We start from the raw sequence: 27,733 nt of genomic DNA on the forward strand, positions 1-27,733 counted from the left end.
ATCTCTCTCCTTTAAGAAAACAGCCTCAGGCCAGGCGCGGTGGCTCACACCTGTAATCCCAGCACTTAGGGAGGTGGAGGTGGGCGGATCACGAGGTCAAGAGTTTGAGACCATCCTGGCCAACATGGTGAAAAATTGTCTCTACTAAAAATACAAAAATTAGCTGGGCATGGTGGCACGCATCTGTAATCCCAGCTACACAGGAGGCTGAGGCAGAAGAATCGCTTGAACCCGGGAGGCGGAGGTTCCAATAAGCCGAGATCATGTCACTGCACTCCAGCCTGGGTGATAGAGAGAGACTCCATCTCAGGAAGAAAAAAAAAAAAGAAAGAAAAGAAAACAGCCTCATTGCGTCTACATCATTCTTTTGCTGTTGGCTTTTCTCAGCCAGCTTTCTTGGAAGCACTGGTTGCTCTGCCTGACTCAGTTTCCTTGTTTATAGGGTCTTCTCCAACCTCTGCGGCCAGGTCTCTGCCCTGCTTACTGTCTCATTTGCACCTGCGGGATGTTACTTTATTTTATTTTTTGAAACAGGGTCTTGCTCTGTCACCCAGGCTGGAGTGCAGTGGAGCTATCATAGCTCACTTCAATCTCCTGGGCTCAAGTGATCCTCCTTCCTCAGCCTCCCAAGTAGCTGGGACCACAGGTGCACCACACCACGCCCAGCAATTTTTTTTGTTTTGTTTTGTTTTACATTTTGTAGAGATAGGGTCTCTCTATGTTGCCAAGGCTGGTCTCGAATTCCTGGTCTCAAGCAATTCTCTTGCTTTGGCCTTCCAAAGTGCTGGGATCACAGGTGTGAGCCACTGCACCTGCCCTCCTCCTCCTCCTCCTTCTTTTTTTTTGACGGAGTTTCGCTGTTGTTGTGCAGGCTGGTGTGTAATGACACGATCTCAGCTCCCTGCAACCTCCGCCTCCCGGGTTCAAGCGATTCTCCTGCCTCAGCTTCCCAGGTAGCTGGGATTACAGATGCCCGCCACTACACCCGGGTAATTTTGTATTTTTAGTAGAGATGGGGATTCGCCATGTTGGTCAGGCTAGTCTCAAACTCCTCACCTCAGGTGATCCACCTGCCTCGACCTCCCAGAGTGCTGGGATTGCAGGTGTGAGCCACGGTGCCCAGCCACCTCCTTCTTCTAATTATGATCTTCCCTGGGGCTAATTTCACACATTGCCACTCAAGGTCACACACCTTACCTTTCTCACTACAGCAGAGGAAGCATTTCTAGAACCTCCTGGTTGGGGCTGGGGTCCCATCACATCCACACTGTGGCTGGGAGAAGGGAAGGGCTTTGGTCAATGTTATCAATCATCAGCTCCAGTTGGGCCTGAGGCATATAAGTTCAAGGTCTCGTCCACAGTGTGCTGGCCCAGACTGGGCAGAGCCAGTGGCTGGCAGGGGTTGCCGGTCCACTCCAGCCCTCACCGTTGGGGCCATGGGGTGGGTTGATTGGGTTTTGCCTCTGCTTAGCCTGTTATGGTGATGGTGAGTAGAGATGGATGGGCTGTCTATCCACGGAGCACTTTTTTTTTTTTTTTTTTTTTGAGACGAAGTCTTGCTCTGTTACCCAGGCTGGAGTGCAGTGGTGCGATCTTGGCTCACTGCAACCTCTGCTTCCCAGTTTCAAGTGATTCTCCTGCCTTGGCCTCCCAAGTAGCTGAGACTACAGGTGCCCGCCTCCACGCCCGGCTAATTTTTGTATTTTCAGTAGAGATGGGGTTTCACCATGTTGGCCTGGCTGGTCTCACACCCCTGACCTTGTGATCCACCCGCCTTGGCCTCCCAGAGTGCTGGGATTACAGGCTTGAGCCACCGCACCCAGCCTCAGGGAGCATTTTAAACTTATCTCCTTTTCTTTTTTGAGATAGGGCCTCACTCTGTCATCCAGGCTGGAGTGCAGTGGTGCCATCTCGGCTCACTGCAACCTCTGCCTCCTGGGTTCAAGCAATTCTCCTGCCTCAGCCTCCTGAGTAGCTGGGATTATAGGTGTGTACCACCACACCTGGCTAATTTTTGTATTTTTAGTAGAAAGGGGGTTTCACCATGTTAGTCAGGCTGGTCTCGAACTCCTGACTTCAGGTGATCTGCCTGCCTCAGCCTCCCAAAGTGCTGGGATTACAGGCGTGAGCCACCGTGCCCGGCCTTAACTTCATGTATTTATTTCTTTTTCTCTTCCTGGGGCCTCCAGGGCTGTGGTGTCATCAACAGTTCCCCGTACTGTTTACTGGGACCCCCATGCTTCCGGCCCCCGGTGACACGTGGGAGCTCAGTAGCTGGCAGGGCAGGACCCATCATGAGAGTCCCAGAACTGGGGAACACCGAGAAGCAGAGAATGGGGCCCCACGCAGACCAGGAGCCCCATGCCTGAGCTGCAAGGAGGGACTTGCAGGCAAGGTTTTCCACCTGGATCTGTTCAGATGCAGTGACCTTGCAGAGTGATGGGGCCGGGACACTTCGTGCATCAAAGCACATAATTAACAATAAAAAGGAAAGGGGCCCAAGAAGAGGGGTCCCAGAAGAGAGGTCCAAGTTTCCTAGAGGGCAAGGACAGGCCATGATTGACAAGCCAGAAGTGGGCTCATGAGAACTGGGCTTTCTCTGCCAATAGTTGTGCTGTCCTGACCTAAGCTTACCTTCTCTAAATGTGTCAATCTAGAAAGAGAACAGGGCTTTGGTTTTGCAAGATTAAAAAGGTCTGCAAATTAATTGCACACACATTGTAATAAATCTCCACCCCTTTTTCATCTTGCAAATTCTATGAATTTTGGATGCCTCATATAAGTGAAATCACAGTGTTAGTTTTTTTGTGACTGCCTTATTTCGCTTAGCATTATGTCTTCAAGATTCATCCATGTAGCAAGGGTCAGAATTTCCTTCCTTTAAAGGCTGAATGATATTCCACTGTAGGGATATTACTATCCATTCATCTGCCATGGGACATTGATTTGGGTTGCTTTTACTTCTTGGCTATTGTGAATAATGCTGCCATAACCATAGGTTGCAAATATCCCTTCCCTCCCCTCCTTTCCCTTCCCTTCCCTTCCCCCCTCTTCCCCCTCTTCCCCCTTCCCTCCCCTTTTCTTTTTCTTTCTTTCACTTGTCCTTCCCTTCCCTTCCCTCCCTCCCTTTCTTCTTCCCTCCCTCCCTCCCCCTCTTCCTTCCTTCCTTCCATCCTTCCATCCTTCCATCCTTCCTTCCTCCCTCCCGTCCCCTTTCTTTCTTTTTCTCTCTCTTTCTTTCTTTTTTCCCCTCCCTCTCTCCCCCCTCCCTTCCTTCCTCCCTTCCCCTTTTCCTTCCTTCTTTCTTTCTTTCTTCCTTTCTTTCTCTCTCTCTTTCTTCCCTCCCTCCCTTCCTTCCTCCTTCCTTCCCTCCCTCCCTCTTTTTTCTCTTTTTTCTTTTCTTTCTTTCTTTCTTTCTTTCTTTCTTTCTTTTTCTTTCTCTCTTTCTTTCTTCTTTTATTCTTTCTTAATCTTTCTCTCTCTCTTTCATTGTTTTTCTTTTCCTTTTTTTGTGACAGGGTCTTGCTCTGTCACCCAGGCTAAATTGCAGTGGCACAATGATAGCTCACTGCAGCCTCGACGTCCTGGGCTCAAGCAATCCTCCTACCGTAGTCTCCCAAGTAGCTGGGTCTACAGGCATGTACCACCATGCTTGGCAAATTTTCAAATTTTTTATAAAAATGGGATCTTGCCATGTTGCCCAGGCTGGTATGGAACTCCTGGCCTCAAGTGATCCTCCCATATCAGCTTTCCAAACTGCTGGGATTACAGGCTCATGCCACCACTCCCAGCTAATTTTTTATATTTAGTAGAGATAGTGTTTCACCATGTTGGTCAGGCTGGTCTCGAACTCCTGACCTCAGATGATCCACCCACCTCGGCCTCCCAAAGTGCTGAGATTACAGGTGTGAGCCACCAAGCCCAGCATCTAATTCTTATTTTATTATTATTTTTTTTGAGATGGAGTTTTGCTCTTGTTGCCCAGGCTGAGGTGCAATGGCGCGATCTCAGCTCACCACAACTCTGCCTCCCGGGTTCAAACGATTCTCCTGCCTCAGCCTCCTGAGTAGCTGGGATTACAGGCTCCTGCCACCACGCCTGGCTAATTTTGTATTTTCATTAGAGATGAGGTTTCTCCATGTTGGTCAGGCTGGTCTTGAACTCCTGACCTCAGGTGATCCACCCACCTTGGCCTCCCAAAGTGCTGGAATTACAGGCTTGAGCTACCGTGCCCGGCCTCTAATTCTTATTTTTATTTTATTCATTTATTTTGGAGACAGTGTCTTGCTCGGTTGCCCAGATGATCATAGCTCACTGCAGCCTCTAACTCCTGAGCTCAAGTAATCCTCCCACCTCAGCTTCCTGAGTAGGCGGGACTACAGGTACACACCACCATGCCCGGCTAATTTTAAAATTGTTTGTAGTGGCGGGGTCTCGCTATGTTGCCCAGGCTGGTCTCAAACTTCTGGCTCCAAGTGATCCTCCCACCTCAGCCTCCCAAAGCACTGGTATTATAGGTGTAAGTCACCACCCTTGGCTTTAAGCTTCTAATTCTTTCTTTCTTTTTTTTTTTTTTTTTTGTTGGGACAGAGTCTCATTCTGTTGCCCAGGCTGGAATGTGGTAGTGCGACGATAGCTCACTGCAGCCTTGAACTCCTGGGCTCAAGCAATCTTCCCACCTTAGCCTCCCAAGTAGCTGAGACTACAGGTGCACACCACCTGTAGCTCTGCTAAGTTTTAAATTTTTCACAGAGGTAGGTTCTCGCTATGTTGCTGAGGCTGCTCTCCAACTCCTGGGCTCAAACGATCCTCCTGCCTCAGCTTCTCAAAGTGCTGGCATTGCAGATGTGAGCCACCACGCCCAGGCTCTCTGCATCATTTTAACAAAGAGTCATAGCCTCTGAGCCCTGGGCTGTGGCGGGGCCAGCCCTGTTTCCCTCTCACACTCCAGTGCAGGACAACATCAGCAAGTGCTTTCAGATTACAGGTGTGAGCCACTGCGCCTGGTCAGGAGTTCAAGACCAGCCTGGCCAACATGGTGAAACTCTGTCTCTACTAAAAATACAAAAAAATCAGTCGGGCGTGGTGGTGCATGCCTGTAGTCCCAGCTACTGGGGAGGCCAAGGCAGGAGAATTGCTTGAACCCAGGGGGCAGAGGTTGAAGTGAGCCGAGATCATGCCATTGCACTCCAGCCTGGACGACAAAGTGAAACTGTCTCAAAAAAAAAAAAAAAAAAAAAGAAAAGAAAAAGAAACAAAGGAAGTGCTCTCGGCCTGGCGTGGCAGTGATATAAGACATCAGGCCCCTTCCCATGTAACCGGAAACCCATGAACAGAGCCTGGTGGTTTTACAAACAGGAGGAGCAGAATGGAGAACAGAGAATCTCATCTTCTGGGGGTCCACACGTGTTCCCCAAGATTGTGGGAATGAGTGTGTGCAGCTGGCTTGGGCAAGGGTGCCGTGGCACTGCAGGGGCCAGCAGCTTTCCACCTATCCAGGACTTGCTAACAACTTGCTAACGGCCCTGACTGAGATGACTCAGTTTCCCAGCTAGAACTCCCCAGCAGCAAATGCAGGCTTGGCTGCTGTATCATTGATCACTCCCAGCCTGTCCCTGCCAAGCAATTCTATATCCCTCACCTGCTTGGAGAGTGGAAAGGCCACAGGCGTCAATAGCCTCAGACCCAGCATTTAAATCCTGGCTCCACACACTAGTTCTGTGGGCTGGTCGCTTCCTGTCTGAACCTCCATTTGCTCATCTATAAAGTGAGCACAGCGATACCTGTCTTGCAGAATTGTCAATATATTGTATATGAAATGAGGTGACAAGTACCTGATGTGGCACAATTGGTGGTACAGAGTAGGCCTGAATAAATGGCCCTTGTTACTGTCATTCCCCGACCTGCCCAGCACTAGGCACAATAGTGTTAGAAACCCACATTGATTAGCCGGGCACAGTGACTCATACCTGTCATCCCAGCACTTTAGGAGGCCAAGGCAGGAGGATTGCTTGAGGCCAGGAGTTAGAGACTAGCCTGGCCAACATAGACCCCGTCTCTACAGAAAACTTTAAAAATTAGCTAGGCATGGTGGTGTGCACCTGCTACTCAGGAGGCAAAAGTGGGAGAATCGCTTGAGCCTCGGAGGTTGAGGCTGCAGTGAGCTGTGATTGTGCCACTGCACTCCAGCCTGGGTGACACAGCGAGACCCTGTCTCCAAAAAATATATAAATAAATACAGACTGACTGATTTTTGTATTTTCCCCTTCAGGATATAGATGCTTAGGACTGAGATGAGAATGCTAAGACCCCGGCATGTTCTGGTGTGTGTGTGTGTGTGTGTGTGTGTGTGTGTGTGTGTGTGTGAGAGAGAGAGATTCAGTCTCTGCCTTTTCATGCAACGTGAAGGGTCTCAGTATGGATCCCCTGAGTACCAGAAAGCACCCTGTCAGGTAGAGGGTGCCAGGAATCCCCGGTCTTGCTGCCAGCGCTGGGAGCCCTGGGCTGAGGTCCAGAGTTAGTGACCCCCTGCAAAGCTGCTGTTTTCCTTTAGGGAGTGGAGATTGGTTGGGGTTTGGAGTCCAACCAAATTCCCCTTGGAGGGCAGCCCATCAGCAACAGGGATGCTGTGAACGTCCCTGGGAGGTGGTGGGTTGTGTAGACAGAGGCCGGAAGTCAGGACCTTTTGAAGCAGCATTATTGTCAGGGGTAAATACCTGAGGTTCATCATCTCACGCCAGGGAAATCAAAGACATGGACCCACAAGAAGTGAGTTTAAGAGCAGAGGTTTAATAGGTGATAAAGAGAGAAAAGAGAACAGCCCTCCCTCCTGCAGATAGAGAGGGGCTGCCGAGTGGGTCTTCTGGTTTCATGGCGAAATGCACAGGGCGGGGGGAGGATGGGGGGTGGTTTATAGATGAGCCTGAAGAGGCAGAGTCTGATTTACACAGCGCCCGAGAGATTGGTCAGACCAGGTGTGACGTTTGCATAGTGTGCGAAGAAGCTGGCCATCCCACCCCAATCTTTTATTGTGCAGACGGGTTCTCTACCTGGCTGCTGCCATCTTGTCTGTTCCTTCCTGTACACATGGTTGACAAAGAAAAGGGAAGATGGGGCCGGGCGCGGTGGCTCACGCCTGTAATCCCAGCACTTTGGGAGGCTGAGGCGGGCAGATCACGAGGTCAGGAGATCAAGACCATCCTGGCTAACACGGTGAAACCCTGTCTCTACTAAAAATACAAAAAATTAGCCAGGTATGGTGGCGGGCGCCTGTAGTCCCAGCTACTTGGGAGGCTGAGGCAGCAGAATGGCATGAACCCGGGAAGCAGGGCTTGCAGTGAGCCGAGATCGCGCCACTGCACTCCAGCCTGGGTGACAGAGCGAGACTCCGTCTCAAAAGAAAAGAAAAAGAAAAGGGAAGAAGGAGCCGCCATGTTGAACCTACCTGGCCCCCAGGTAACCCTTTTCTATTGGCACGGCTGCCGGCATTTACATATGCAAGCTTTTAGCTTGCTTACCTGTGCTTGTAGATTTTCAGGCTGCTTTTTGTTAGAAAAGAAATGATTCACACTTGTAATCCCAGCACTTTGGGAGGCCAAGTCTGGTAGATGGCTTGAGGTCAGGAGTTCAAGACCAGCCTGACCAACATGGTGAAACCCCGTCTCTACTAAAAATACAAAAATTAGCCGGGCATGGTGGTGCACGCCTGTAATCCCAGCTACTCAGGAGGTTGAGGCAAGAGAATCGCTTGAACCCGGGAGGTGGAGGTGCAGCCAGCCAAGATCACACCACTGCACTCCAGCCTGGGCAACAGAGCAAGACTCAGTCTCAAAAAAAAAAAAATAAAAGAAATTATTTTGCAGCTGCTTTTTATTAAAAGGAAACCCTTACCAAGGACTCTCTTACCCCCACTATCTGCCTAAAGAATTTCTTTCTAGCTCTTTTATCACTTTGTAAGTGACCTGCCCATCCGTTTCTCTTCTGGAAATAGGGTCATAGGAGTAGCCCTGCTGGGGAAGGGGCACCTTGGAGGTCTCTGCTCCCCGAGGCAGGGCTCCGTGCCGCCAAGCAAGGCCTCCGTAACGACCCACTGAGCCCTGGTTATCGTAAACTTCCTGCAGAAGGGGGCTTACCTTCCCATGATGCCATGTCTAGACACAAGGTCAGGTATAAGTTATGGAGATGATGTAGCATGTTCGGTGGTTAAACCGTAAAACTTTAATGAGAGATTTCTGTGTCTTGAACATGTGCTGGGGAAACTGTGGGAGGAGGGAGGGGGAGACGCATTCACTTCCTTTCCACTTCTTCTCTGGCCATCTGTAGGGGTGCAGGCACCGCCCTGGAGGCCAAGCCCTTGGCGCTCAGCTGAGATTTGGTGTCAGTGAGTGGCCTCCACCAGACCTGGCAGTTCCCAGGCCTGGCTCCCATTAAGCAGCTAGATGGAGCTCTGCCCTGCTGCACCGGGTGGACCTTGGCCAAGTCACAGCCTCGCAGGGCCTCGGTTTTCTCATCTGTGAAATGGGGTTGGGAGAGAGACTCTCCCAGCACAAATGTTTCCATCTCCTGATCTTCTATGATCTGGCAGAGCGCATCAGCAGACACGCATGTTGAGCAGAAGGAATGCCTCTCTGAGTTTCAGACCTGCCTCGTGGGGCCCTGGGGACACTGTAGGGCAGAGGAATAGCTTTATGGACTGTAAAGTGCTGTGCAGACACACAGCCCTCCTGGAAATTCTGGGGGTCTCTCTCTGAAAAGGGGTGAAAGCTATGCTGGTAGCTATTTAGGAGATATCTTTGTGGAAAAGGAAATGGAGACTGCTGTGGTTTTTTTTCTGACTCCAAATACATTGCTCCAATTCTCTGACACCACCACCATTCCATTCAGACACTACTGGGAGTTAGAGCAGACCCCAGAGTTTAAGGGCTCAAGACCATAAGACTGCTCCCACGTCAGATGCCGGCCATAAACGGGGTGCCCAGTTTACCTGCACTTATGCAAATTCAAGGGTTTACACGATTTCTCTCTTTTTTTTTTTTTTTGAGACAGAGTTTTGCTCTTTTCGCCCTGGTGTGCAGTGGCACGATCTTAGCTCACTGCAATCTCCGCTTCCTGGATTCAAGCAATTCTCCTGCATCAGCCTCCTGAGTAGCTGGGATTACAGGCGTGTGCCACCATACTCAGCTAATTTTTGTATTTTTAGTAGAGATGGGGTTTCACCATATTGGCCAGGTTGGTCTCGAACTCCTGGCCTCAAGTGATCCGCCCACCTCAGCCTCCCAAAGTGATGGGATTACAGGCGTGAACCACCGCGCCCAGCTGGTGTCCACGATTTCTGCCTCATGTTTGGTAATTCGCTAGAACCACTCACAGAACTCAGGAAAGCACTTTGCTGATGGTTACCATCTTATTGTAAAGGAAACACTTGAGTAGCAGCCAACTGGGAGAGATGCACGTGAAGTGGCGTCGCTGTCTGGGGTAAATACTCAAGATTCGTTGTCTCACGACCATGGGCAACTAGGACACAGACACACAAAGAATGATGGTCAGTGCAGAAGTTGAATCAGCGAAAGCAAGAGAAGAGCTCTCTCTGCTGCAGAGAGAGGGGTCCCGGAGAAATGGATTGCCTTTTTTTTTGTTTTTTTTTTTTTTTCGAGACAGAGTCTGGCTCTGTCATCCAGGATGGAGTGCAGTGGTTCGATCTCACTGCAACCTCTGCCTCCCAGGTTCAAGCGATTCTACTGCCTCAGCCTCCTGAATAGTTGGGATTACAGGCGCGCACCGCCATGTCCAGCTAATTTTTTGTGTAGGGAGGGGGTTTCACCATGTTGGCCAGGCTGGTCTTGAACTCCTGACCTCAGGTGATCCGTCCACCTCGGCCTCCCAAAGTGCTGGGATTACAGGCATGAGCCACCACGCCCAGCCCCGGGTAGCCCTTTTCTATTGGCATAGCTGCCGGCATTCACCCCTGCAAGCTTCTGTCTTTCTTCTCTATGTCTGCTGCTTGATTTTTCAGGCTGCTCTTTGTTAGAAAAGAAATGATTTGGGGGCTGCTTTTTGTTAAAAGGGAAACCTTGCCAAGGACTGTATCGCCGTTGCTCTCTGCCTAAATAATCTCTTTCTATCTCCTGTATCACATAGGCCAGTATGGAGGGTGGGGACGGGATGTAGAGCTTCTCTATCTTTTCTGAGTATCCGCTGTCCCAGAACATTCAGGTGCTTACCAACCTGGAAGCTCCATAATCTCCACTGTTAGGGTTTTTATATGGGGTCTCGTTACATAGGCTCGATTGATTACATCATTGGCCATTGTTGATTAACACAATCTCATCTTTCTTCTCTTCCTGGGGGTCAAGGTTGGAGCTGAAAGTTCCCACCCTCTAGTCACGTGGCTGGCTTCTCTGGCCCCCACCCTCTCACCCTGAAGCTGTCTAGGGGCCCAGCAGGGATCACCTCACTTAGCATAAACTCAGATTTGGGGGAAAGAGGCTTGTTATGAATAACAAAACACACTCCTATCACTCAGGAAATTCCAAGGGTCTTAGGGGCTCCACGCTAGCAATTTCAACAAAGACCAAATACATATATTTTATTATACCACAGACACAGAGGCCTTTGGAGCTGAGGCTGGATGCTACTCTGTGTACTGAAGACACTCACTCGGGCCTTAAGGTCAAGGTACAGGAGGCCCTGATTTCCAGCAATGACATTTCACAGTGCCAGCCCCCACGTGCCATAATATCTGTTCCCATGCAATTAAGCATAAGGGCTTTATACTTGCCTTGTGCACATGGCTGAGCAATGGCAGAGATTTGAATAGGGTGGCTGATGTGGAGCCACATCACGATACACCCTGTGTGAGTGTGTTACCGGAAAGGAGTGTCATCTAGACTCCCAATAGTGGGTTCTTGGATCTTACACAGGAAAGAATTCAGGGTGAGTTGCCGAGTATAGTGAAGCTAAGATAATGTATTAGAGACTACTCAATTACAGAATAGGCTATCCTCAGAAAGCAGAAGGAATACACTCACGTCAAATACAATGCTTGCTTAAATAGAATAACAGAGCTAAGAATAATGTTTTGTTGTTGTTGTTGTTGTTTGTTTTTTTTTTTTTTTTTTTTTTTTTTGAGACAGAGTCTCACTCTGTTGCCCAGGCTGGAGTTCAGTGGCACAGTCTCAGCTCACTGCAACCTCCACCTACCGAGTTCAAGCGATTCTCCTGCCTCAGCCTTCAGAGTAGCTGGGACGATAGGCACGCACCATCGTGCCTGGCTCATTTTTGTATTTTTAGTAGAGATGGGGTTTCACCATGTTGGCTGGGCTGGTCTCCAACTCCTGACCTCAAGTGATCTGCCCACCTTGGCCTCCCAAAGTGCTGAGATTACAGGCATGAGCCGCTGCGCCCGGCCAGAATAAGGTCTTACATGCTTTATTCCAAAGGTTTGTGATCAGGTTGTGACAGGCAATTAGTATTGCTATTCTCTTGTGTAACTGTTGATTTCAGCAAGAATTAATAGGTATGCTATTATCTTTAAAGCAAAACTTTTTTTTTGAGACAGGATCTTACTTTGTCACCCAGGCTGGAGTGCAGTGGTATAAACATGGCTCACTGCAGCCTCAACCGCCCAGGGTCAAGCTATCCTCCTGCCTCAGACCGCCAAGTAGCTAAGACTATAGGCATGCGCCATCACGCCTGGCCAGTTTCCAAATTTGTTTATAGAGATGATGGTTTCACCACGTTGCCAGGCTGGTCTGGAACTCCTGAGCTCAAGCAATCTGCCGACCTTGGCCTCCCAAAGTGCTGGGATTACAGGTGTGAGCCGCTGTGCTCAGCCTTGAAACTTATTTTTAAACTAAGGATGTTTTTTCTTCTTAAGATATCAGGGCATCAGGACATCTCTTTAAGTTCGAGGTCTTATTTAGTTAGTTAACTCATCCCTTCCACCATAAACACCCTGTAACCAAGAGTGCCTAACTTCCTGGGAATGTAACCTACCAGGTTTGGCTTTATTTGGCCATTATTCAAGATGGAGTCACTCTGGTTGAGACTCCTCCAACAGGTGGATCCATTCCGCCATGGAGGGGTTGTGCTAAGCATGTATGGACTGAGGCCATCCTGGTAGGTGAGGACCATGTAGCTCAGGTCATGCACATTGCGCCTCGGGAAAATGCCTCCCAGGAGAGCATGGAGCAGCTGGGATGAGGACAGCCCTTCCCTCAGCCAACTGTTCCACCATCAAATCGCATTTACGAAGTGCCCACATGCTCTTAGGAGCCCATAAACACCGCAATCTGTGGCTCTAACCCTCACTCCTTCCAGTCGAAGTGTTGTGGGGCCCCAGGGGACCTCCGGATCTGCAGAGGGGGTGCACTTGTCTCTGGGTCTCCTGTTCCCACAAGAACCACCTAAAGCATTGCCTGCGTTTCCCCGACATGGCGTTGGAATGTTCCAGAATCCCTGAGCCTTGCTGTGCCTTTGTAGTTATTTATTGCCTGGGCCTCTCATTCAGTGCTTCTCTTACAGGCTTGGAGTTTTCTTCTTTTTTTCTCAATTGCCTATATGTTTATCTTCCCAACTGGTTTATGAGCTGACTATGGGTTGCATCTTTTTTTTTTTCTTTTTTTTTGACACGGAGTCTCACTCTGTCGCCCAGGCTGGAGTGCAGTGGCACAATCTCTGCTCACTGCAAGCTCCACCTCCTGGGTTCACGCCATTCTTCCGCCTCAGCCTCCCGAGTAGCTGGGACTACAGGCGCCCGCCACCACGCCTGGCTAATTTTTTGTATTTTTAGTAGAGACAGGGTTTCACCATTCACCGCATGGTCTTGATCTCCTGACCTTGTGATCCGCCCACCTCAGCCTCCCAAAATGCTGGGATTACAGGCGTGAGCCACTGCGCCCGGCCTGGGTTGCATGTTTTGCTGCCGCTTTTTGGTCTGCTAGGACCCCACCCAGAGGAGAACAAACACTGGGGCTTGGCACCACCTGCAGTCAAACCTGGTCCCACCACCTCTAGTTGTGAAGTTTTGGACAAGGGCTCATACAGGCAACCTCAGCACTTTGGGAGGCTGAGGCAGGAGAATTGCTTGAGGCCAGGAGTTCAAGACCAGCCCAGGCAACAGAGCAACACCTTGTCTCCACACACACACACACACACACACACACACACACACACACACACACAAACACACACAACAAAAAACAAAAACAAAAACAAAACAAAACAAAAAAAATTAGCCAGGTGTGGTAGCTCATGCCTGTAGTCCCAGCTACTTGGGAGATTGTGGTGGGAGGATTGCTTTGAGGCTGGGAGGTTGAGGCTGCAGTGAACTATGATTATTCCACCAAACCGCAGCTGTGTGACAGAGTGAAACCCTGTCTCAAAGAAAAAAAAAAAGATATTTCAAGCAAGCTATCTACTTTTTCAGAGCCTCACTTTGCCCATCAATGAAATGGGAAAAAATGATGCATATCCTCCAGAGTGTTGGAAATATCCTCCAGAGTGTTGGAAAGTAGAGAGGCTGCTTGAATGTGTCTGGTGCATGGTGGGCACCCATGAAACAGGTCCAATGCCAGCCTGTGAAAAGCATGTACGGCTGGCAAAGCCCTGAGCCCTCAACATCACTTCCTTTTACTTTCCCAGTAACCCTGGGCAGCAGGCAGGCAACACTGTGTTCCCATTTTACAGATGAGAAAGATGGGGTCAGGTGGTTAAGTGATTGGATGAAGGCCACATAGATAGTAAGTGAATGATTGATCCTACACCAGAAACCGGGCTTGCTTTTCCTGGCACCATCCTCTCTGAGGAGGAAATGAATGAATCAACAATTACAATACAGGGTTGGGCTGGGTGTGATAGCTTATGCCTGTAATCCCAGCACTTTGGGAGGTCGAGGTAGGAGGATCACTTGAGCCCAGGAAGTCGAGACCAGCCTGGGCAATATAGCAAGACCCCATCTCTAAAAAAAAAAATTAGCCAGGTATGGTGTCACACACCTGTAGACTCAGCTACTCAGGGGGCTGAGGTGGGAGGATCGCTTGAGCCCAGAAGTTTGAAGCTGCATTGAGCTATGATCCCGCCACTGCACTCCAGCCTGGGTGACAGAGCCAGACCCTGTCTCAAAAAATAAATGAATAAAATAAAATAAAATACAGGGTTGCACTGTGTCTGGGGCTATGGTGAAAGGCCTCTGCATGATGGTAGAGGGAAGAAAAGATTTCTATTCTCATCCATTGCTAAGTCCATAGTTAATACCCCTGTGACACAAGATAGATTAACAAGAGAAAAACATGCACATTTGTTTAAGTTTTATGTGACATAGGAAACTTCAGACATGAAGACCCAAAGAAACAGGGAGACCTGTGTATTTTTATGCTAAATTTGATAAAAAAGCGGACAGCTGTGGAGAAGTGTGATTGCACAAAAAGAGTATGATCTCAGGCCAGGCGCAGTGGCTCACGCCTGTAATCCCAGCACTCTGGGAGGCCAAGGCGGGTGGATCCCTTGAGGTTAGGAGTTCGAGACCAGCCTAGTCAACATTGCAAAAATCCATCTCTACTAAAAATGCAAAAAATTAGCTGGGTGTGGTGTGGTGGGTGCCTGTATTCCCAGCTACTCGGGAGGCTGAGGCAGGAGAATGGCTTGAACCTGGGAGGCAGAGGCGGAGGTGAGCCGAGATCGCGCCACTGCACTCCAGCCTGGGCAACAGAGCAAGACTCTGTCTCAAATAAAAAAGGTATGACCTCATCATAACAAACTGGGTGAAACTTAGCAAGGCATGTTCAGATTCTTCTCTGTGTCCCTGTGTCCTCAGAGACAAGGATGTTCCTTTCCTTTAGGTAGGGAGGGCACCTCTGGGGTAAAAGTCTTATGATCTACTTTAGAGGAAAGTCAGAGAATTCTTTTATGACCCGTGTCAGGGGAAAAGTGTGGGGGAAAGTCAGAAAGAACTTCCTGCTTCTGCTGTTTTCTCAAACACCAACATACCATATTTAGGGGTACAGTGTCCTGAGCCCCACTGATGGAGAGAAGCAGGGGCTGTTATTTCCACTACAGAAGGTTTTCAGAGGCCTTATTCACACACAAAGGGTGAGGGTGGATTTCAGGGCCACTAAGTTACGGGCTGGACGCGAGTGTGTGTGTTCGATGTGTGTGTGCGTATATTGTGGGCCTGGTGTGTTTCCGTGTTGTTGTGATGTGCATGTGTGCCTACTGTGTATTGGATGTGCGTGGCGATGATGCATGATTCTGTGGTGATTCCTTCCTTTCCTTCCTTCCTTCCTTTTTCTTTCTTTCTCTTTCTTTCTTTCTTTCTTTCCTTCCTTCCTTCCTTCCTTCTTTCTTTCTTTCTCTCTCTTTCTCTCTCTCTCTTTCTTTCTCTCTCTCTTTTTCTCTCTCTTTCTTTCTCTTTCTCTCTCTTTCTTTCTCTCTCTTTCTCTCTCTCTCTCTTTCTTTCTCTCTCTCTTTCTTTCTTCTTTCTTTTTTTCTCCCTCTCTCTTTGTCTCTCTTTCTTTCTTTCTTCTTTTCAGTATCTCATGTTGTCACCCAGGCTGGAGTGCAGTGGTGCAGTCTCAGCTCACTGCAACCTCTGCCTCCCAGGTTCAAGTGATTCTTGTGCCTCAGCCTCTTGAGTAGCTGGGATTACAGGTGCATGCCACCACTCCCAGCTAATTGTGTGTGTGTGTGTGTGTGTGTGTGTGTGTGTGTGAGTAGAGATGGGTTTCACTATCTTGGCCAGGCTGGTCTTGAACTCCTGACCTCAGGTGATCTGCCCACCTCGACCTCCTAAAGTGCTGGGATTATAGGTGTGAGCCACAGTGCCTGGCCAATTCTGTGGTGATTACATATATGCCCATGTGTTAGTGTTGTCAAAAGACAAAATCATAACAAATGTAGTTATAGATCTAATTGGTTTTTATTCAAGGTTTATCAATTCGGGCAGTCTTCATTCTATAAAATAGAATAAGAGCTTCCACTGCAATAGCAAAACACTGGGTTTTGTAAGATGGAAACAAGGAAATAGAATGATAGGAAAAAACCGGGTTGGTTAACATCGGGTTACTTCTGGTTACTTGGTTACTTTTTTTTTTTTTTTGAGACGGAGTCTCGCTCTGTTGCCCAGGCTGGAGTGCAGTGGCATGATCTCGGCTCACTGCAAGCTCTGCCTCCAGAGTTCATGTCATTCTCCTGCCTCAGCCTCCCGAGTACCTGGGACTACAGGCGCCCGCCACCACACCCGGCTAATTTTTTGTATTTTTAGTAGAGACGGGGTTTTACCGTGTTAGCCAGGATGGTCTCGATCTCCTGACCTCGTGATCCACCCACCTCGGCCTCCCAAAGTGCTGGGATTACAGGTGTGAGCCACCATGCCCAGCCATTTTTTTTTTTTTTGAGATGGAATCTTGCTCTGTTGCCCAGGCTGAAGTGCACTGGCACGATCTCGGCTCACTACAACCTCCTCTGCCTGGGTTCAAGTGATTCTCCTGCCTCAGCCTCCCGAGTAGCTGGGATTACAGGCATGCACCACCACGCCCGGCTAAGTTTTGTATTTTTAGTAGAGACCAGATTTCACCATGTTGGCCAGGCTGGTCTTGAACTCCTGACCTCAGGTGATCTGCCCGCCTCAGCCTCCCAAAGTTCTGGGATTACAGCCATGAGCCACCGAGCCCGGCCTCTGGTTACTTTTTTGTAAGGGTTAAGGCAAGGGGGATGTCTGTATTATACTGACTCAGGTAGACTGGAATCTCCTCTTTTCAGGGAAAACTGGTCTGTTAGTGTGTGAATTGTAAGGTATTGTGTGTCTGCGTGGGATATGCGTGCTGTGTGTGTAGTTAGTGTGAATGATACATGGTCATGTTTGTGCGTGTTTGTGTGTGTGCATTAGCATGCGGAGTGTGAGGTTTGTGTGTGTGCAGTTTGCACAGATGTGCAGTGAGTGCATAGTATGTGTATTATAAGCCCTCAGTGACCCTCTCTTGGGCTGGTTGGATCTGCCTGAGAAAATTTGTCTACTCTTGTATCTGGAGGGTGTACATCTGGCCATCTGCCAGCTAGGAGCTGAGGGGGAGGAAGGGTGTATAGGGAGTATCTTGATATTCAGTGTCTAAACTTGCACTTAATTCCCAGTTTTCAGTATAGTTCTCAGACCCTCAATCATACCTGGTATTCTTCAGTCATGAGATTCCCCCATTTTTTCTCTCCTAAGAATAAGCCTCCAGATTTCTGCCTGAGTGAAGGGGAGGACACAGAGACATCCTCTTTCTTTGAGACTTTGAACCTATCTTGTTTTCAGCACCTCTGTATACCTTCATTTGTCCAAGTACTTGGTATGTTGCCATTGTGGGAGGGGTGTTCTGCGGTGTAGATGAGATTTTCTCAGCTTTCCCTGACCTTTCGTGGGTCAGTAAAATCAGCTACCATTTGTCCATTTGTTTTGCGGTTTCCACATTTCTGTTGCTGTTGACTCTTTTACCCTTGTCAATTTCTTTGTTCTTGTCCATTGATATTTCTTTTTTATTTATTTATTTTTTGAGACGGAGTCTCGCTCTGTTGCCCAGGCTGGAGGGCAATGGCAAGATCTCGCCTCACTGCAACTTCTGCCTCCCAGGTTGAAGCGATTCTCCCACCTCAGCCTCCTGAGTACCTGGGATTACAGGTGCTCACCACTACGCCCACCTAATTTTTGTGTTTTTGTAGAAATGGGTTTCATCATGTTAGCTAGGCTGGTCTTGAACTCCTGACCTCAAGTGATCCACCCACCTCAGCCTCCCAGCGTGCTGGGATTACAGGCATGAGCCGCCACGCCCAGCTCATTGATATCTTTTAAGAAAACACAAACCTTTCTGTGACTTGAGGTGCGGTTTCGGGAGAGCGTGGTGGTAAATGTGTGTCTGCTATCTGTGCCCAAAACAGATGAGCAGAGGAAAATAAAGTGTCCTTTTGTAAAATTAGGTCATGACACAGGACAGCCAGACTCAGTCACCCTTAGTGTCCCTCTCACCATTCTAATGGTAAAGTTAAAACTCTGAATCTCCAAAATTTACATAAGAAATATTTCAAATTAACCGAAAGTACACAAAACGCCCCATAAAATACATATATACTTACCACTAAGATTTAACAGTTGTTAGCATTATGTCATATTTGCTTCAGTGTTTCCTTTTTAACTTTTTATTTTGAAATAATCCAGAACAGTGTATTTTAAAGGAATAAAATGTTATGGGTATGGCTAAAGTCAGGTATCCTGTATGCGTTTTCTCTTTTTCAAAATGTGACACTAATCAAGTTGGTGGGTGTCATTCCTAGACAAATTTCTCTACTTTTACTACATATATATTTATAGCTATAAACAAAACATACTATTGTGTGTTTTAAAATTTGCATAATGATGTTCTGCTGAATTCATCATTTTGTAGCTTGCTTTTTCACTTGACAAAATAGTAGTAAGATCTATACATATTGACTCTTTTGCCTCTCATTGATTTTAACTGCTTTATAGTATTTCACTGTGGGGATATACTGCCATTTATTTATCATTCCCCTACTAACAGATATATTGCTTCTGCTTTTTCACAATTACAAACAGTGCTGCAGGGACTACCTTTGAATCCTTGTGCATGCGAGCAAAGGCTTGCCCAGACAGAAAATACTTACAGTTAATTCTTCTACATATTGTCAATTGCTCTCCAAACTCAGTGTTCCAATTTCCACTTCACCAGCAGTGTATAAAAGTTTTCCATTATTCCACAGTCTAGCCAATTTTTGGTGTTACTAGAATTATTACATTTTGGACACAAATGGATGAGAAACTGTATATCATTTTAAAATTTGCATCTCCCTAATACATCCAAATTTAAGCCTCTTTCAGTTTTGTTTGTTCAAAAATTAGTCTTTAGACATCGCTCTTGAATGATGGTTTAGCTGGGTATAAAATTCTGGGTTGACAGTTATATTTCCTCTGCATTTTGGAGATATTACACCATTATCTTCTAGCCTCTATTGTTGCTGTTGAAAGATTTACTGAAGGTGTCTTTGGAGGTAATTCATTCCTTTTCTTTGGTTGATTATAGTATTTTGTCATTATATTTGGAATTCTGCAGAGCCACTATGATTTGGTGTCTAGATATGTATCAGTTTACTTACCCATTTAAGACTCTTTGTAAATCTTGAATCCTTGATACATGAGGATCCACATATTTTTAAATCAATTCCAGAAAACCTCAAGCTATTATCTCTTCAGATTTTGCCTCTTTATAAAATTTCCTCTATTCTTTGTTTCTGGAACTCCTTTTATTATTTGTTTGTTTGCATTTTTATTGGCATATCATCATTGTACATATTTTGGGAGTACATGTGATATTTTGATATGTGTATATAATACATAATGATCAAATATCCATCACCTCAAATATTTATATTTTTCCTGTGTTGGAAACATTACAATTCTTCTCTTTTAGCTATTTTGAAATCTATAATAAATTATTGTTAACTATAATTTCTCTACTGTACTATTGAATACTAAAACAATTTTTTTTAAGAGTCAGGGTCTCACTAGTTTTTCCAGACTGTTCTTGAACTCCTGGGCTCAAGCAGTCCTTCCACCTCAGCCTTCTAAGCAGCTGGGATTTAGAACTTATTCCTTCTATCTAGCTGTATGTTTTTACCCAGTGGAAGTTCTTTCAGATAATATCCTCATTCTCTCATTCTATCCTCTGAGTCTCTAAACTGCTCATAATTTCTATTTCTTTTGCATTTTGGGCAATATTCTCAGATCTAGCTTTCATTTTATTTGTCTTCTCTTCAGTGTGTCCAATAAGACTTTTTATCTGCCAATTTAATTATTATTATTCTAATTTTTCCAAGTTATACTTAGTTCCTTTTCACTTCTACCCTATTTTCAACTCCTTCTTTTAGCTCTTTGATATTTTTAAACATTCTTATTTTACACATGTCATATTTTATTTCATATTAGAGTTTTTATTTTCTCATGTTGCTGGGGCTTTAATCTTTCTGATTGTTTTAATTTATTTTTGTTTGTTTGTTTGTTTTGAGACAGGGTGTCACTCTATTGCCTAGCCTGGAGTGTCATAGTGCAATCCTGGCTTACCATAACCTTGACCTTCTGTACTCGAGTGATCCTCCCACCTCAGCCTCCCAAGTAGCTGGGACTATAGGCGTGCGTCACCATGCCCAGCTTTTTGGGGGGTATTTTTTGTAAAGACAGAGTTTTACCATGTAGCCCAGGCTGGTCTCGAACTCTTGGGCTCAAGCGATCCTCCCGCCTTGGCCTCCCAAAGTGCTGGGATTACAGGTGTGAGCCACTGTACCTGGCCTTCCCTGGTGCTTTTATTTCCTCTCTCATTGTTGCTTGTTTCCTTGTTTGTTTTGTAATTTTTTATGGTTAACTCATCTTTGTCACAGCTTGTTTTTCAATGAGAAAACAAGCAGTCCGGATTGTGGAACCATTCTTCCACAAAGCTTTGTAAGGCACTCCAGAATATCCTGGGCAGGAGTTGATTTTCATGTTAGTTTCTTGATTTGTGGGTTTCTGGATAAATGCTAGTGAATTTCTGATATTAATTCAAACCTCAGATCCAAACAAGGCACAGGCCTGAGGTTTGGATGTTATCAGGGGAGATTTTCTTTTTAAATTCAGGCAAAGAGGAGATGCCACGTTGTTCCCTCACTCTGCTGATCAGCAGACAGTTTTCTAGCAAATCTTTCATGGAAGGTTGTCATTCCTTATTTCATGGGTTATCAGAATGCATGGGTGTAAAACCCCACACTGAAACAGCTAAGTTACTATGATAGCCACCCCACCCAAGGTCAGTTATAGCATCTTTATGATTTCATATAGCAGCTTCTGTGTCTTCAGTTTTTCTCTTTATTCTTGTAAGCACCTCCTTTCTTTCTTGGGAACTCAGCTATGCATTTATCACAATTATATATATATATATAATTATATAGAATCTCCCAAAATATATATATATATATATATAATTGAAACAGGGACTCACTGTCACCCCGGCTGGAGTGCATGGCACGGTCATAGCTCACTGCCATCTCAAACTCCTGTGCTCAAGCGATCCTCCCTGCTCAGCCTCCTAAGTAGCTGGGACTACAGGAGCATACCACCACACCCAGCTGATTTTTAAATATTTTGTAGAAACGGGGTCACGCTATGTTGCGCAGGCTTGACTTGACCTCCTGGCCTCAAGCAATCCTCCTGCCTCAGTCTCCCAAAGTGCTGGGATTACATGCATGAGCCACCCCACCCGGCCAATTTTTGGTATATTTTGTCCAGCATTCCAAAGTGTTTGTAGCAGAGGTTTTTCTGGTTATCTTACACACCATCCTGTTAAAGAGGTATCTTTTTAACCTTCTTAAGTTTCAATTTCTTTATTTAGACAGTGGGAATATTGTCCTTTCTACAAAGAATTATCGGGACTAGGTAAGGATTTAAGTAAACAATCTAACCATGTGGTAAGTGCACCATAAATGCTAACAATAATGATTATTATTACACTAATATCATATGTACTCTTTTTCCTTTTTTTTTTTTTCCTAGACCAAGTCTCACTCTGTCACCCAGGCTGGAGTGCAGTGGCATGATCTCGGCTCACTGCAACCTCTGCCTCCCGGGTTTAAGCAGTTCTCCTCCCGAGTAGCTGAGATTACAGGTGCCTGCCACTATACCTAGCTAATTTTTGTATTTTTTAGTAGAGACGGGGTTTTGCCATGCTGGCCAGGCTGGTCTCTAACTACTGACCTCAAGGGATCCACCTGCCTTGTCCTCCCAAAGTGCTGGGATTAAAGGCGTTAGCCACCACCGCGCCTGGCCTTCTTTTTCCTTTTTATTGATGTTTTTATGTAGCTCAGCATGAGGCCTTTGAAAATAAAATAGCCCATTTTCTCTCACTGTAAGTTGCAATCTTTAATTGCACCAAATTCCTCCCAAGAAGGAAGTGGCAGAAAGGCAATAAAATGAGAAGTGAGTGCTCTTATATTGTGTGAGTTACATTAACATACATTATCTCATATCACCCCTATCATAATCCCATGATGCAGGATATTGTAATAGTCAGGATGGACTAGGTTGCACTTTGGAAACAAACAGTACCAAGGTTTTAGCAGGTTAGCCCAGCACAAGTTCCTGTCTTACTCCTGCTTCATGTGCAGTGCTGGTCAGTGGCTGAGCATCTCAGGGCTCCTTAGGGTGACTCACGCCTGTAATCCCAGCACTTTGGGAGGCCGAGGCGGGTGGATTACTTGAGACCAGGAGTTCAAGACCAGCCTGGCCAACATGGTGAAAACCTATCTCTACTAAAAATACAAAAATTAGCCAGGCGTGTTGGCACACGCTTGTAATCCCAGCTACTCAGGAGGCCAAGGCAGGAGAATCGCTTGAACCTGGAAGGCGGAGGTTGCAGTGAGACAAGATGGTGCCACTGTACTCCAGCCTGGACGACAAGTGAGACTCTGTCTCAAAAAAATGAAAAACAAAACAGAGTTCCTTAGGCACAGAAGTTTTACCATCTGGCAGCTGTGGGATGCCTGGGAAGTTGCGTGTGGATCTTTTACGGCCTCAACCTCTTACAACTTAACTGGTGCAAACAAATCATATGACCATGGTCTGCTTTAAGGGAGCAGGGAAATGTAGGGAAGAAAATGGGGCATTTAGTCACTACATTTGTCTCTGTCACCCTCAAAATAGAAAGAAAGAAATTAGCTTTTTTTTTTTTTCTGGAGACAGAGTCTCGCTCTGTCACCCAGGCTAGAGTGCAGTGGCATGATCTTGGCTCACTGCAACCTCCGCCTCCTGGGTTCAAGCGATTCTCCTGCCTCAGTCGCCCAAGTAGCTGGGATTACAGGCACATGCCACCGTACTCGGCTAATTTTTGTATTTTTAGTAGAGACGGGGTTTCACCATCTTGGCCAGACTGGTCTCAAACTCCTGACCTCGTGATCCACCCACCTCAGCCTCCCAAAGTGCTGGGATTACAGGCATGAGCCACTGTGCCCAGCCTTTTTAATTTAATTTTATTATTTTTTTAAAGAGACAGGGTCTTGCTCTGTGGCCAAGCCTATAGTGGAGTGGCGTGATCATAGCTCATTGCAGCCTTGAACTCCTGGGTTCAAGCCATCCTCCTGCCTCAGCCTCCTAAGTAGGTGGGACTACAGATGCATGCCACCATGTCCAGCTAACTTTGTTTTTTTTTTGAGACAGTGTCTCTCATTGTCGCCCAGGCTGCTGGAGTGCAATGGCGCGATCTCAGCTCACTGCAACCTCCACCTCCCGGGTTCAAGTGGTTCTCCTGCCTCAGCCTCCCGAGTAGCTGGGATTACAGGCACACACCACCACTCCTGGCTAAATTTTTGTATGTTTAGTAGAGAAGAGGTTTCACTATGTTGGCCAGGCTGGGCTCAAACTCCTGACCTTGGGATCTGCCCACTTCGGCCTCCCAAAGTGCTGGGATTACAGGCATGAGCCACTGCACCTGGCCCCAGCTAACTTTTTAAAGTGTGTGTGTGTGTGTGTGTGTGTGTGTGTGTGTGTGTGTGTGTAGACAAGGTCTCGCTGTGTTGCCCAGGCTGGCCTTGAACTCCTGGCCTTGAGTGAGCCTCCCACCTCAACCTCCCGAGGTGCTGAGGTTACAAATGTGAGCTACTGCACCTGGCACTAGAAATTAGCTTTTATTTACACTTTCTAAGCATTCACACTGTGCCTGGTTCAGGTCTTACATTCTCTTTAGACTCTCAGCAATGCTGTGAGGTAGCTTTGCTGATGGAGAAACAAACTGTGTCTCAGAGACATTAAGGAACTTATGCAAGATGCCATGCTGAAGAAATGAATTAGTAGCTGTGCCAAAATTTCACTCCACATCCTATACTTCTTATTTTATTATTATTATTATTTTTGAGGCAGAGTCTCCCTGTGTCGCCCAGGCTGGAATGCAGTGGCGTGATCTTGGCTCACTGCAACCTCTGCCTCCCAGGTTCCAGCGATTCTCCTGCCTCAGCCTCCTGAGTTGCTGGGATTACAGGTGCCCACCACCACACCCGGCTAATTTTTGTATTTTTAGTGGAGACAGGGTTTCACCATGTTGGTCAGGCTGGTCTCGAACTCCTGACCTCGTGATCTGCCCACCTCAGCCTCCCAAAGTGCTGGAATTACAGGTGTGAGCCACCATGCTGGGCCCTTTATTATTATTTTTAGATGGAGTCTTGCTCTGTCACCCAGGCTAGAGTACAGTGGCACAGTCTCGGCTCACTACAACCGTCACCTGGGCTCAAGTGATTCTCCTGCCTCAGCCTCCCGAGTAGCTAGGATTACAGGTATGTGCCACCATGCCTGGCTAATTTTTGTATTTTTAATTAATTAATTAATTAATTAATTTTTTTGAGACAGAGTTTTGCTCTTGTTACCCAGGCTGGAGTGCAGTGGCACAATCTCGGCTCACTGCAACCTCTGCCTCCTGGGTTCAGATGATTCTGCCTCAGTCTCTGAAGTAGCTGGGATTACAGGCATGCGCCACCAAGCCTGGCAAATTTTTGTGTTATTAGTAGAGACGGGGTTTCACTATATTGGCCAGGCTGGTCTCGAACTCCTGGCCTCAAGTGATCCACCTGCCTCAGCTTCCCAAAGTGTTGGGATTACAGGCGTAAGCCACCATGCCCGGCCTCACATCATATATTTCTACCGGGGGAGAGAAAGAGTCAGAAAAAAAGAGAAGCATACATGGAGGAAGGAGAGAGAAGGCCAGAGGTCAGCTCTGCACACGCCGGTGCTGAGAGGTGATGCTGCCTCACCTGCCTGAGCCCTGGGAGCAGTCAGGTTCCAGCTCACCTGCGTGAGGTGCTCCCAGAGGACTTTCACATCAGGCCAGACACATGCATCTTTGGAGACACATTTTGACGTCAGGCATGAACGCTGAGTGACAAGTATGAGTTTGGGTCTTTTTCGTCATAGGCTATGATGCTGCAGGGGCAACCAAGACTCCCCTGGGACACACGCTTGTGAGCTAATGGACCAGAAAGGGTGTGATCCTCATAGTCGCTTCCTTCTCTGTGCCCCCAGTAGCTTGTTCTGGCCTCTGTTACAGGTCTTGCCACCCAACTCCAACTCCCCTGCCTATGGCTGCCTTTGTTTACCTGCCGTCATCTGATCTCTGCATCCCCAGTGCCCTGGACAGGGTCTGGCCCTGAAGAGCCCTCAGGAAAGGCTCTTTGGTGAGACAGATGGACAGTTCTGGCAAAAACCTGTATGTGCTGGGGCTACAGGTGTTGGGGGTGGGAGCAGTGGGAGGCAGAGGGCTGAGATGAGCCGAGGCCCAGCCGCGGCAGCCATGTGACCTTGGGATTGTCCCATCCTGTCTCTCAACCTCTGATAGTGGTGTGGGGTGTAAAGTGATCTCAGCGGAGCCCGGGCACGATGGCTCACATCTGTATTCTCAGCACTTTGGGAGGCCGAGGCAGGTGGATCACTTGAGGTCAGAAGTTTGAGACCAGCCTGGACAACATGGTGAAACCGCGTCTCTATTGAAAATAGAAAAATTAGCTGGGCACGGTGACGGGCACCTGTAGTCCCAGCTACTCAGGAGGCTGAGGCACGAGAATCACTTGAACCTGAGAGGCAGAGGTTGCAGTGAGCCAAGATTGCAGCACTGCACTCCAGCCTGGGTGACAGAGTGAGACTGTCTCTAAAAAAAAAAAAAAAGTAGTCTCAGATTCTCTGGGATTTTCTGGGATTTTCGGATCCGTCTTCACCCTCTGGGCATAGTTGACCCTTGGGAAGGGAACAGACAGCGATCTTCAGTTTCACAAGGGGACTAAGCTCAACTGTTCATTCCACGTCCCCCCCAACCCCACAGCCTGAGGCTGTCCGTGTCATACCCCATAGGGAGCTCTGAAGCCCGGTCTTGGGGTTCACAGGCCAGCCTCAGCAGAGACATTGAGGACAGTGGGGGCTCCAGGTCAGACTTGCACAGGCAGGTCCCTGCACAGGCAGCTTTGCGGTGGCGGGAAGGGCTGGAGACAGCCCTCACCCGCCCGCCCTGGCCCTGCCGTCAGCAGCTGCAGGGAAGAGGACCGGGCGCATTTATAGAATTCCTGCCTGCAAAGGCCATGCAGTTGTTTTAAATTAGCATACAAATCGACATTAGTGTAGTACATCTGTTGTTAATCCACATCCCGGTGGAACGGAGATGCCAACACGCCTTTTATTAGGCACGTCGATCCCATAATGTCCTTTCTCCCTGCCTTTGTCTTCTATCAGAGTCCGTAATGGGTTCCAGGATGTCTTTTATTTTGCTATGGACCACGTTTCCTCCTGCCCAGCGGATCAGAAACGTAATGGATTCCAGGATGGAATTTATGTTCCTTTGGAATCAGACCCTGTACGATGAATTCTAAAGCCTTCGGGCAAATCTCCAGGGAGGCCGTGGCCCTGTGTTTGCCCCCATGGTCATCAGACAGGCACCGGGAACCCGGGCACAGTCCCAGGGCTGGAGGGGGAGGAAGGGAGCCTGGGCCGACAGCTCCCAATTAAGGGAATTCCAGGCAGGCGTGGGAGGAGAGGCCAGGGGTGCTGGTGGAGACAGACAGGGAAGCTGGGAAGATGCAGGGCGGGGAGGAGGGGGCACAGATATTCTAGAAACCCAGGAACCGGCAGCACCAGTGTTTCTGGGGCTGGTCACAGACACTGGACACCAGTTTGCGAGGTCCTGGAGAAAAGGACCTTGACCCTGAGTATCCCAGCAGGCCTGGGGAGGAGGGCAGGGTGTTGTGAGCCAGAGACTGCCCTTGGGGCTAACCAGGCCGGGACTAAGATACCCAGCTTTACCCTTTGCTCATGGCATGGCCCTGGAGAGTCACTGTCTCTTGCTGAGGCTTGGATTCCATAGCCTGCACCCCATCACCCCGTGTCAGCACCAAGGGCTCCCCAGCCAGCATGCCTCCTCTGCCTGCTACCAGGCCTTCAACCAGTTTCCTCGGGTTCTTTCAACCCCCTCTCTCACGACATGGCTCTCGGTGCCCTCCCTGCCATCTTGGCTCCTTCTAGGGCACACTCGAGGGGCCCCATCTCTCTCAAGAGAAGGACTCAAACCATCCATGAAGCTGGGGCTGTGGAGGGCAGGGTCCAGGACTCTCCTCCCACCTCTGAGATGCCGCGCTCCTGTGCAAACCTGAGACCCTCGGCCACTCTGGCCACCACTGTGTCCCCAGGGCCTCCAGTCCTCCAGCCAGCCCTGTGGTTGGCCACCCTGCCCGTAAGATAAGCCCACGCCCTGTCACTGGGGCTGGAGGGGCTCTGAGCAGAAAAGATCACCTTCAGGGGCAGGTTTGGCCCCCACCACAACACTGATTTTCCAGACCACAAAGTGAACCCACCCTGCACCCACCGGCTATCACAGTATCGTTTTTTATTTTGTTATAGAGATGGGGTCTCACTATATTGCCCAGGCTGGTCTCAAACTACTACAGTGTCTTTTACATTGAAGGCTTTAAAAAAATTGTGATTAGGCTGGGCGCAGTGGCTCACGCCTATAATCCCAGGACTTTGGAAGGTCAAGGCAGGCAGATCACGTGAGGTCAGTAGTTCAAGACCACCCTGGCCAACATGGTGAAACCCCCATCTCTACTGAAAAAAAAACAAAACAAAAATTAGGCAGATGTGGTGGCGGGTGCCTGTAATCCTAGCTACTGGGAGGCTGAGGCACAAGAATCGCTTGAACCC

At 47.9% G+C, this 27,733-nt stretch overlaps 1 protein-coding gene across 6 annotated transcripts in view, besides 3 other annotated features; it reads left to right on the forward strand.

Moving 5' to 3' along the window:
• Positions 1 to 27,733, forward strand: part of COL26A1 (collagen type XXVI alpha 1 chain) — a 196,637-nt gene that overhangs the window by 98,085 nt on the left and 70,819 nt on the right. The window lies entirely within an intron of this gene.
• Positions 882 to 1,394: an enhancer, noted in NCBI's record as "H3K27ac-H3K4me1 hESC enhancer chr7:101104635-101105147 (GRCh37/hg19 assembly coordinates)". NCBI's record gives its function as "activates a minimal SCP1, AML or CMV promoter by ChIP-STARR-seq in naive H9 embryonic stem cells {active_cell/tissue: H9 hESC(naive)}" and the evidence as "EXISTENCE:reporter gene assay evidence [ECO:0000049][PMID:30033119]".
• Positions 24,852 to 25,505: an enhancer, noted in NCBI's record as "H3K27ac-H3K4me1 hESC enhancer chr7:101128605-101129258 (GRCh37/hg19 assembly coordinates)". NCBI's record gives its function as "activates a minimal SCP1, AML or CMV promoter by ChIP-STARR-seq in primed H9 embryonic stem cells {active_cell/tissue: H9 hESC(primed)}" and the evidence as "EXISTENCE:reporter gene assay evidence [ECO:0000049][PMID:30033119]".
• Positions 25,506 to 26,158: an enhancer, noted in NCBI's record as "OCT4-NANOG-H3K27ac-H3K4me1 hESC enhancer chr7:101129259-101129911 (GRCh37/hg19 assembly coordinates)". NCBI's record gives its function as "activates a minimal SCP1, AML or CMV promoter by ChIP-STARR-seq in primed H9 embryonic stem cells {active_cell/tissue: H9 hESC(primed)}" and the evidence as "EXISTENCE:reporter gene assay evidence [ECO:0000049][PMID:30033119]".

The sequence above is a fragment of the Homo sapiens genome, chromosome 7 (genome assembly GCF_000001405.40).
Source record: "Homo sapiens chromosome 7, GRCh38.p14 Primary Assembly".
Taxonomy (NCBI): Eukaryota; Metazoa; Chordata; class Mammalia; order Primates; family Hominidae; genus Homo; species Homo sapiens.